Here is an 11997-nt window from a genome sequence, read left to right as displayed (position 1 = left end):
CCGTGTTCGATTCTTATCCAATGCTGCTGGGCAAAAGTGGAACAGAACTAACATTAGCAGGGGTAACTATGTGGGTAAGTGGAACAGAGGCACACAATTGTAGAACTCACAGTAAAATTTGAGATCGCGGAGACTCGTTCCTTTCTTTTACAGATAAGAAAGCCTGAGGGAAGTGACTTTTCCAAGATCATAAACAAGAAAATATACCCCAAAGATTATTCTTCACTCCCTACTTTTGCCCTGCCAGATTTGCTTTTGTCCAAAACGTATTTGATGGGGGGGGAAAAGTTCAATCTACAATTAAAGTTAAGGATGGAAGTGAAAAGGGCCTAGAAATGGCAGCACTGAGTTTTATTGACTTGGAAAGCTGTAATCCAATAGATGGAAAAAGCACAAAAATACAATCCTATTCCATCATACAGGACCTGAGTACCTATATGTACTCAGCAGGGAAATATAACCTGAAAGTACCAAATATTTGGTTCAAAACAATTCATTCTAACTCCTACAAAAACATGTCAGTACTGAGATTGATCGTACTGATTTCCTTCTTTCTACCATAGCTAAGGACCCAGATAGAAACCACATAAAAAATATTAGCAGCACTTTTCATGTATCCTTCCACTAAAGTATAATCTGGCCAAATGTGTTTCAAAAGCATTTTAGGAAATTTTAGTATTTATTAACTTATACTATTGACATATTGTCAAGTTATACAAAAGAACTATTCCAAATATTATCATGATAGCTTATAATTACAAATATTAGAGGAATCTTAAAAAATAACATTGCCTTTTCCAATACCATCTTTCTCTCTAAAATGGTACCACCCAGCTGTGAAGTGAATACCTTCCTTAGGAAAAATCCTGCTTTTAGCAAATACAGTTGTCTGAAATTGGGAAGACAGTAACAAACATCAGTCTTCATCTGAACTGTAAGTCTAACATAGCAAACTAGCTCTCCATAACATTGGCCCACTTGTCTCTTAATCTTCAAAAGGAAGTACTGTGTTACCCCTCAGCAGGCAACCCCAACACAAGTTACTCTTAGGGAAGGTCTCCAAAAAAGCCTACTTTCAAATTCCCTACCCACTACCTCAACCTCTCTCTCAGTGTTTACTCATGCTTTTATTATCAACTATCTGAGGAAAAAACACAAAAAACAAAAAACATGTCTTTGCCCATTTCAGGATGAGAATGAGACCTTCTACTTGTCTCCCATATCCTGTCCTTCCACTCTCTTCTCTTCATCTTCACACTTCCCATCTCACATCTCCCTTCACTGACTCTTTCCCATGCCCTATAAATATATTCAACCCTCTCTCATTCTAAAAAAACAAAAACTTTATAAAATCATATTTACCCTCAAGGTGAATTTTCCATTTCCTTTTTTTTTTTTTTAGCCGCTAAACTTTTCACCTCCAACTTGTCACTTCAATTACAGCAATTCTGTATTAGTTGCTTCTCACATTGCCGTAAAGAAATACCTGAGACTGGTAGTTTATAAAGAAAAGAGGTTTAATGGGCTCATGGCTCTGCAGGCTGTACAAGAAGCATGATGCTAGCGTCTGCTCAGTTTCTGGGTAGGCCTCAGAAAACTTACAATCATGGTGGAAGTTGTAGGGGGAGCAGGCACATCACAATGGCCAGAACAGGAGCAAGAAAACAAGAGAGTGAGGGGGGAGGTTCCACTTTTAAATGACCAGATCTCATGAGAATTCAGTCACTATCACAGTGACAGTTCCAAGGGGGATGGCGCTAAACCATTCATGAGAAATCCACACCCATGATCCAATCACTTCCCACCAGGCCCCACCTCCAACATTGGGGATTACACTTCAATATGAGATTTGGGGAGGGCCACACATACAAACTATATCAAATTCTCCACTTTATTGAAAGGAAGTTTCTCGTCATCTATTATCAAAGTCAACCATCTCTTCTCATTCTTCATTTCACTCTTCCTCTTGGCAAGAAGCAGTTCTATTGAACACCACATACTTCTTTAAATTCTCACTTCAGCTTTAATTTGCTTCTGTGATTCCCTTCCTACGTTTCTGAATAATATTTCCCACATGCTTGGTAGTTCCTCTTCTTCTCTACACCCAGTGAGAGGGAGTGTTCCCCCAGCTTCTCTCTGAACTATTTCATCATCTCCCTGCTTTAACACTCACCTCTACCAGTTTTCCCCTGACCTCTACAATTTCAGGACTGCCCTCACTTCTGAGCCTCAGACTTAAATCTCTGCTGTGGTTAGAATGTGTCCCCCAAACTTCATGTGTTGGAAACTCAATCCCCAATGCAACATTGTTGAGAGGTGGGTCCTTTAAGAGGTGATTAGATCATGAGGGCTCTGCCTCATGAATAGAATAATGCCATTATAAAAAGAATGGGTTCCGGCTAAAAAAGATGAGTGTATACTTTGGGAGGTTGAGGCGAGTGGATCACCTGAGGTCAGGAGTTCGACACCACCCTGGCCAACATGGTGAAACCTCATCTCTACTAAAAAATACAAAAATTAGCAGGATGTGGTGGCAAGCACCTATAATCCCAGCTACTTGGGAGGCTGAGGCAGGAGAATCACTTCAATGCAGAAGGCAGAGATTGCAGTGAGACAAGATTGCACCATTGTACTCCAGCCTGGATGACAAGAGTGAGACTCCATCTCAAAGAAAAAAGTTGAGTGTGGCCCCCTTCCTCTTTCTGTCAGGCTCTCTTGCCCATTTGCCTTCCACCATGAGCTAACACAGCATGAGGCCCTTGCCAGAAAGCTGACTCCTTGATACGGGACTTCCCAGCCTCCAGAATTATGAGCCAAACAAATTTACTTTCTCTGTAAATTACCCTGTCTCAAGTATTCTGTGATAGCAGCAGAAAACAGACTAAGACAATCTCCAGCTGCTTGCTTGACACCTCCATATGCATGACCAAAATCAGATTCATGTTATTCTCTACAAAACCAAATTCCTGTAATATTCCCAGTGACCTGACCTGATATAATCTCTCAAGCTTCTCATCATGAAGCTCACTGCCTATTAATTTATTTTCCACATACACAGAACCACACAGTAATTCTGCCTCTGATGTTGCACACACTGCTACAGCTCTTTAGCATCTATTTCCTCCATTTTCCTCTTATAAAACCCCCACCGATCCTTCAAGGCCTAATGGATGTCACTTTCTCCATAAATTTCTTCCCATTTTTTCTTAGACTAGATTATCACATAAGTGAAGGGTTTGTATCCCTGTAGAGTTTTTATAGCTTTTAATTTATACCATACTGTCTTTCAGAGTTTTGTACCTTTTTAAATTACTACATGTATATTACATTTGCTGTGTGCCTATTGTATGCCTAAATTTGCATATATGTTAACATTAATCCAGTCGTTTCTTCAACTAATGTTAATTAAATGATCAATTGTAATCTGCTTATATTAAGTATCTTTGGGATATGACAATGAACAAAATAGCCAATGTTCCTGCTCTGTGAACCTTATGGAGGTGGTAATTTTATATAGACGTAAGTGCTGTGAGGAGAGTTCAACAAGATAATGTGGTAATGGCTGGGGGCTGTTTTTACTAGATGGTTAGGGAAGACTTATGTGAGGAGGCATGACAGAGCCAGCCAGGTATGACTTCACATGCAAACACTCATAAGATCAGAATGAGTTAGGAACATTCCAGGAACAAAGGACCATCAATATGGCTAGAAAGATATGGCCAGGAGATCAAGTGATTGGACACAAGCGGGAAAGAGAGAGAGAGGGCGAGAGAGAGGGAGAGGAGCCAGATCTTGTAGGATCTTGAAGGCCATGTTGAAGAGACTACATTTCATTTTAAATGAGTTAAGAAATCATTGGAGGAGAATTTTGAACAAGAAAGTGAGGTGATCTATTGCATGCATTTAAAATGTCATTCTGGTTCTTGTGTTGAGAATAACGTGGAGGAAAGACTAAGCAGAGAGAACATTTTGGAAACTATTGAGAAGTCTGGTGAGTCAGAATGGAAGACGGTAAGAAGAGGCCACATCTGGGACTCATATTAAAGTGAGCATTCTTCAAACTTGCTAAAATATTGAATGTAGGCATGAGAGTAAGAAAGTAATCAAGTATAAGTCTTCTGTTTCTGTGTTGAGAAATTGGGTGAAAGATCCTGCTATTTCATAAGTTGGGGAAAGCCGGGGACAAAATTTTTTTTCATTAAGGAAAGGGAAGCCGAGAGTTCCATATTGGACTTATTAAGTCTAGGACATATTAGACATTTATAATCCTTGCAAAAATCTTACAAGATTGATATTATCATCATTCCATTTTACAAGCAAGGGAATGAATATTCAGGAATGTATTAAGTCTTGTCATCCTGAGAAGTGAAACTAGAATCCTTTCTTGTGTCTTTCTAGTATCATAGTACCTGATGCTATGGTCTTGAATGTTTGTGTCACTCTGAAATGCCTATGTTGAAATCCTAACCACCAAGGTAATATATTAGGAAGTGGGAACTTTGGAAGGTGATTAAGTCATGAGGGTGGAGCATTCCATGAAAGTGATTAGTGCACTTAAAAAGGAGGCATGAGGGAGCTTGGTCGCTCTTTCCACCATATAAGGACACAGTGAAAAGACACCATCTACTAACCCGAAAGTAGATCCTCACTAGACACTGAACCTGCTGGAATCTTGATTTTGAATTTCCCAGCCTCTAGAACTGTGAGAAATAAATTCCTTTTGTTTATGAACTACCCAGTTTATAGTATTTTGTTACAATAGCCAAAACAGCCTGAAATACCTGAGGGGCTTTTAAAGTGCCCTATTGCTTCCCTATAAGGTATCCAATAGATTTTATGATCCTTCCTTGAGGGCAGAGGTTACTCAGTAGGATTCTCCATATCATTTAACATCAGCTATGTAAAACGTGTTTCTGTAAAAACAAATCATCCAAAATATTTTACAGTTTAAATCTTACATATACGCATTACATTGGAAACTTTGAAAGTGGAGTCACTTTCCTCTGACTGGAGGAGTATAGTCTTCCTAAGAGGCATCCTTCCATATCCTCAACAGAGAAGGCAAACTGGGACAGTGGGAAGAGTACCTTTCGTCTTTATACTTAAGTACCTGAGAACTGCTTTATCGTGTACCTTGGCTTCGAAGAAAAAGCTAAGCTGTTATGTTGGTAAGCAAACTAAAAGAACTAAAACAAGTAGGCAGACTTCACAAACACATAAATTACAAAATACAAGTCTGCCTTAACAATCTCCGAATCATGCGTTACAATTCATTTTTATTGAGACCATCTTAAAAGCTATGGTTTTATTAATAATTTAAGTGACTGTGATAAAGATGGTCTACGTCACTTTTTAAAAAACAGACATTTGTGTATTACTAAAAGCCTTTATGAATTATATAGTAACCTTCCTGATTCCAATAGCTAGAATCTTCCTATTCATTAGCCCCGTGAAACATTCATACTAGTCTCTGCCTAGGGAGTGATTTTTCACTGTACTCAGAGAGCTTCCATTTATATTAATGTGCATATGCATAACAAGAGTAACTCTTTAGTTCTCTTAAACTTTCTAATAGTTGCTATGTTGTACCGCAGAAATAGCCATGTTTTTATGAGTACATTTCTTATTTCAGTTGATTCAATCTGCCTTTTCTTTTTCTAAAACTATTAAGCTGGATAAAGAGCTTTGATCTTTTTCAGTATTCTGCTTGAGTGAACCTTGTATGGAGCAAAATGATGCTTGCACAACAACTACAGGGAAGACGAAGCGCATATGGCAAACAATTTTCTCAGACAACTGGGCCCTTTGATTCAGTCCAGTTCAGTGATTAAGGCAGTGATTAAGAGTGCAGGATCTGGAGTCCCACTTTCTGGGTTCAAATCCCAGATCTACCAGTTATTAGCTCTCTGAGTCTGGTCTTCATCTGCAAAGTAATCATAATAGTAGTATCTGCTTCAGAGATTGTTTGAAGATTTAACCAGTAAATACACCTTTGTTTTTCTTACAATTGTTTCTGGAGTTTGACCACAAATATGTAACATGTATTTAATTTCCATTTTACCAAGTATTTGATCTTTTTCTCCTTAAAGCAATTGTCATTCAACAGAGAAAAAAAAATCAGAGTTCATGGCCTGATTGTGGAAATGAGTAAAGAGAAGGTAGAGCTAATTCAGACCTATGCATCAATAATATGCCTCACAAAGTAGAAACATATATAAACTTCAATAGAAGATTGTTTAAAGATGTGAGAGTTGTTAACCATAACATGTTTGGCATCTCAGAAATAATGTTTGAGTAGTAGAAACAGTGCTTTCTCAACCGAATTGCCTCTGCCTAATTATGTACTGGAAAACCAAGCAGAATTTGAATTAATATGTTTTTCAAGAAATTGTAAGGCAACAAATAAATCCATGCACCATTCCACTGGTCTGGAAGCACAACTATTTAGGGATCATCATATGCTGAGCATTCTATGGGTTCCTAAATATAGCAACAGCCTTATGATTGTTTTTCAATACTTCACCAAGATCTGGCTCCTGAGCTACGAAGAAAAACATTTTGTAGAATCATGAATAATAATAGAGAACAATACTGTGCTTAGTATTTCCTTTCTCTGGAATTCTCTTCCTCCAGCCATCTGCATTTCTATGTCCAATGTCAGCTTACAGACAGGCTGTCAGGGACCACAATATAGAAAAAGAATATACCATCCTCCTGCCCTAAACTCTATCCCATTGTTTAGATTTACTTTTCTTTATAACTCTTAAAATCACTAGACATATTTTAAATTTATTCATAAGATTTGATACTGTTATTTGGTCACCGTATATCCCCAGTTCTTGGTAAAGAGTCAGTGCTAAATAAATATCTGTTAAGTAAATGAATCAATTTCTCTCCACATTCAAATATTATATATGTGATATATGTGACAATGTTCACTTTGCACATTCTGAGGAACCATGAAAATAACTGTGCAAACTGAATCCAGGCAAAGCAGTCTTAATAATTTATGCAAAAAAATTATGTCTGTTCATGACCTTTCAAATTTTTTGTTGAAATATTTAAAACTTCTGTCAGTTATGAATGTATAGGTATGTCAAAAAATAATAAAACTAACATTTATTTAGTACACTATAATCAAAAACAGCAGAAACTTGAAAATTAAAGTGCTTTATTTTTTTGTAAAACATTTATCAAGAATAGTTTGAACAGTACCTGCTTTCTTCTCATTGCGCCACTTACAATAGGGAGGAAACATTTTTTACACCTGGGCAAATTTTCACTCTCCTTATTAGGCTTAAATTAGCTTCTAGTGTTGTATGCTTTGTGCTTTCAATGTCATGACATTTCTAAGAATTCTTTTAATTCTTCATCCTTTTCATCACAACCACTTTGCTCATTTATGCTGATGAATTCACCTTTACTGAGTCCCTCTGGCTGTCTATTTAGAGCTTCTAGAGCTGTGGCAGGTGTAGGAGCCCAGGGAATATTTCCCCTTCACCCTCTGATGGTTTGCTGGAAAATCAACTGACAAAAGGCAGGTTAATTGGAGAAAAGGCATACAAATTTATTAATGTGCACATGGGGGACAACCACAGAGTGATTACCCCAAACCCTCGTAGGGGCTCAGAGCATGGCCAAAAGCAGATTATGGTGGTAAATCCGGTTGCATTGGCAAGACAGGTTATAGAAGTGGGGAGACGAGGAAGGCTGGCTAGCAAAGGTGGTCTTGTTACGTAAGTGAAATCTCAGAGATAGAAACCCTCAGAGATAACAGATGGTAATGTTTTTTCAGACCTTTTAAGGTATCAGACTCTAGGTTCATCTTTCCTAGGTCCAGACAAGGGAAAGCTTCTAAGAAAACCTGGCTGCATCAATGCACATTCTCTACAAATGCAAATGTCCCCATTAAGAGACAGCTTTGCAGGAGTACTTCTGTTTGCAGGCCATCTGAACAGCCATCTCAAAAAATTATATTTTGGGCTGGGCGCAGTGGCTCATGCCTGTAATACCAGCACTTTGGGAGGCCAAAGCAGGTGGATCACTAGGTCAAGAGATCGAGACCATCCTGGCTAACATGGTGAAACCCCATTTCTACTAAAAATACAAAAATTAGTTGGTCATGGTGGTGTGCACCTGTAGTCCCAGCTACTCAGGAGGCTGAGGCAGGAGAATTGCTTGAACCCAGGAGGCAGAGGTTGCAGTGAGCTGAGATTGTGCCACTGCACTCCAGTCTGGTGACAGAGTGGGACTCTGTCACAAAAAACAAACAAAAAAAACTATATTTTGGGGTGAAATATTTTTATTTCTTTCACGGGGTTACCTCTCTACAATGAGCTATTTTAACTCCATTTATGCTTAATCTGTATCTTGCAAAGTTAGTTGCACAGTGCTGTAGAAGTTTCTCCCATGCTACATAGGTATTACCCATTTTTTCTTTGTTAGGAATGATAAATTACTCTTCAAAAGGTTTAATTGTATAATGTTCCTGTCCTTTGTTCAAAAGCCCAACCTCCTTGTACTCTTTGTTTCCAGCCTGCCAACAACTCTCCCACTCTAGTTGCACCCTGACATGCCCAGACATGTCCAGACATGCCTTGTATTCTAGTGGATGGATCACCACTCCTACCCCCTCCTCCTCTTACAGACTGTGCATTTACCCTGTTTAGAAAAGTTTAAGTCTTAGCCAGTCAGGATCAGTTTAGATTGTGCAGTCCAACCCTAGACACAGGGACAGGAACTGCATTAGGGATAAAAACCACTTCTCTCCTTTGTTCAGTGTGCTCTTGCAATCGTAACTGATGCAGGCAGCACCCTTCTGCAGAAGCAAATTGCCTTGCTGAGAAAAATTTTGCGTAAGTGCTGGTTCTTCCCTGCAGCACCGAGCATTTGTTTCCAACAAGCCTGGGGGCTCATCTGGGATTCCCATTCTCCTCCAGGGAAGGGTCTCAGATCACCTCTTGTGGGGAGATACATCCAGCTGCCTCATTGTGGTGGTCTCAGGGGTAAGGAATCGAGACCCAACCAGCGTGACAAATAAACATGGATCCTCAGCAACATGGGAAGAAAAGGCCTACAGATACCGGGGTGACCAGGTAACTCTATGCACAGACCAAGGTAAGAAAAACTGCAGGGGCAGTGAATTATTTCCTTGGTGGTCGGGACATTCTGGCAGTTGAAAGTGTGTGAATGAGATGCACAATTGAGCGCTAAGTGTAGAGTCCTGATCTGTGGTTCCATGGTCACCTCATATGGCTTATGGTGGCTTGCCTGTCGGGGGTTTATACTGACCCACCAATGTTAAGAGGTACCTAAATTCCCTCTGGGGAAGTGGCCAGAGACAGAAAAAGCAAAAGTATAAGAATGCAAGAAACCTCCAGCAGGGGGTGTTGAGCCTCTACAGCAGAGTACAAGAAACCTCCAGCTGGGGCAGGGGATGAGCCTCTAGAGCCAAGGGAGCAAGAAATCTCTAGTGAGAGAGGTTGAGCCCCACACACTTGGGACACTCAGGGAAACACCTAAAAACTTCTGGGATGGGAAATAGCTCAAGCAAGATGGGGGATAAAAAGGAAAAGACAGACAGTATAATCCCCTTAGACAGCCCTCTAGGTCTCATGTTAAAATATTGGAAGGATAATGAAAGAACGAAACATAATAAAAAGCAGCAAATGATAAGATATTACTGTTTTATTTGGATTAAAGAACCTGTCCTCAAACCCTCAGTCTTCTGGCCCAAGTTTGGGTCTAATGAGGATTGGATTTGCCAACTTTTAATAGAATATGTCAATAACAAAGGTCCTGTCTCCCAGGAGGAAATAGACTATGCCCTGTGTTGGTGGCAGGGGTCTGTTCTTCTAAATCCCTTAAAAACTACAAAAGACAAGCAGGGAACTGCTTCCCCTGAGGAAATTAAGATCCCTAATCTGAAACCATCCACTAGCATGTGGAACCCTTTAGACCACCTTCCTCCACCAGCGTCCGCTCCCACCACTGCCACCTCTAACCTCCCTCCCCTTCAAGCAAATGCTGCTGCCCCTAGTCCTTCCCCAACTCACTCTGCTCTCCCCCTCATAACCCTGACTCTTGGAGTCATCTCCAGCCTGAATATCCTCCTTTAGGAAGGCTTCAACATGAGATAGAAAAATGTAAGAAGGATATTCAAAACTTCCCTTTCCCCTCTACCACCAGAGGATCGACCACCAACTTTTTTCCTTAAGGGAAGTGCCTCTAGGAGGAGGGGACATTGGCTTTGTGAATGCCGATTTAACCAGCTCAGAAGTTAGAAACCTGAAAAGGGAGCTTAGACCACTCTTAGATGATCCCTATGGTATGTCAGATCAAATCCATCAATTTCTGGGACCCCAGTTACATACTTGGGTTGAGTTAATGTCCATCTTAAGCATCCACTTTTCGGGAGAGGAAAAAAGCATGATCTGTAGGGCTGCTATGATGGTTTGGGAATGTGAACACCCCCTATCCCAGTCATAATGTCCCTGCAGCTGAACAAAAGTTCCTGGCCCAAGATCCTCAATGGGATAACAATAATGCAGCCCATCGAGGAGATATAAGGGATCTCAGAGATATGATAATTAAAGGGATTCAGGAATCAGTTCCTCTAACTCAAAATATTACCAAAGCTTTTAACATACAACAGGGAAAGGATGAAGGACCTATGGAATTCTTAGAAAGTCTCAAGGAGCAAATGAGGAAATATGCTGGATTAGACTTAGAAGACCCCCTTGGACAAGGGATGTTAAAGTTCCATTTTGTTACAAATAGTTGGACATTACAAAAAAATTACAAAAGATAGAAAATTGGAAAGACCATCCCATAGAAGAGCTTTTAAGAAAAGCCCAAAAAGCATATGTACAGAGGGATGAGGAAAAGCAAAGGCAAAAAGCAAGAATTATGTTTTCTGCCATGCCACAGAGAACTCTCCAGGAGAGAGCCTAGGGAAATGGAGCTTGTAAATCTTCTAAGTGTCTGGCTGTTAGACCCTACATGGGAAACAAAGGGATCAAACCAGAGGGTCAAGGAATGAGAAGGGAAAAAGGGCAAAATAGGCGTTTCAAATATGGGAAAATAGGTCACTTCAAACGAGAATGCCTTGAATGGGAAAAGGAAAGTAAGGTCACTCATGGCCTTTGAAGAAGAATAGCGGGATCAGGGACTCTGTCTCTTTCATTTCAGATCCCACCCAGAGCCCTTCATAAATTCAGAAGTGGGACTTACATCTGAATTTATTACCTTTTTAATCGACTCAGGGGCGACTTGCTCCTCTGTCTCTTATTCCCCATCTGGTGCAACTTGTTCAGAAGAAGAACTTCTAATCTCAGGAGTAAAAGGAGAAGGATTTACAGCAAAAATATTAGAAGAAACAAAGGTCAAATATCAGAATCACTCCACTAATATTAAATTCCTGTTAATTCCAGAGACAGAAACAAACTTATTAGAGAGGGATTTAATGCTAAAATTAGGCTTAGGACTCTATGTTAACCAGGGAAAATTTCTTACCTCCCTAAACTGACTCACCACCATAGATGAAGAGTATATCCATCCTGATATCTGGTCAAGAGAAGGAAACTGGGGAAAATTAAAAGTTCCTCCAGTTAAGGTCAAATTAAAAACCCCTGGGGAAATAGTAAAAAGAAAGCAATACCCTATTCCTCTAAAACAAGAATAGGTTTAAAACCTATAGCTGAAAGTCTTATCCACAATGGACTCCTTGAGCCCTGTATATCCCCTTATAACACTGCAATATTGCCTGTAAAGAAGCCAGACGGGTCATACCTGCTAGTACAGGATCTCAGGGCTATTAATCAAATAGTTCAAACTACTTACCCTGTTGTCCCCAATCCTTACACTAACCTGGAGACCAAGCCCTTGTCAAGAGCTGGAAAGAGGGAAAGCTCAAGCCCACTTGGGAAGGACCTTATCTAGTGCTCCTGACAACTGAAATGGCTTTTTCAGAAAAGTATCTTTGCCCTTCCTGGATAA

General features: G+C 39.9%; 1 long non-coding RNA gene across 1 annotated transcript in view, besides 1 other annotated feature; it reads left to right on the top strand.

Annotated features, from left to right (window-relative positions):
• Window positions 7783-8982: an enhancer, noted in NCBI's record as "MED14-independent group 3 enhancer chr7:121150965-121152164 (GRCh37/hg19 assembly coordinates)". NCBI's record gives its function as "activates an origin of replication core promoter dependent on BRD2, BRD4, P300/CBP and CDK7 cofactors, and independent of MED14, by STARR-seq in HCT116 cells {active_cell/tissue: HCT116}" and the evidence as "EXISTENCE:reporter gene assay evidence [ECO:0000049][PMID:35650434]".
• The window catches only part of LOC124901737 (uncharacterized), a 60247-nt gene continuing 56948 nt past the window's right edge, over window positions 8699-11997 (top strand). Inside the window, exon 1 of the long non-coding RNA XR_007060496.1 lies at window positions 8699-9117. This is a non-coding gene — a long non-coding RNA (uncharacterized LOC124901737). The remainder of the gene's footprint in view (window positions 9118-11997) is intronic.

The sequence above is a fragment of the Homo sapiens genome, chromosome 7 (genome assembly GCF_000001405.40).
Source record: "Homo sapiens chromosome 7, GRCh38.p14 Primary Assembly".
Taxonomy (NCBI): Eukaryota; Metazoa; Chordata; class Mammalia; order Primates; family Hominidae; genus Homo; species Homo sapiens.
The sequence above is the reverse complement of the archived record's forward strand: the minus strand, read 5'-3'. Positions and strand labels throughout refer to the sequence as shown.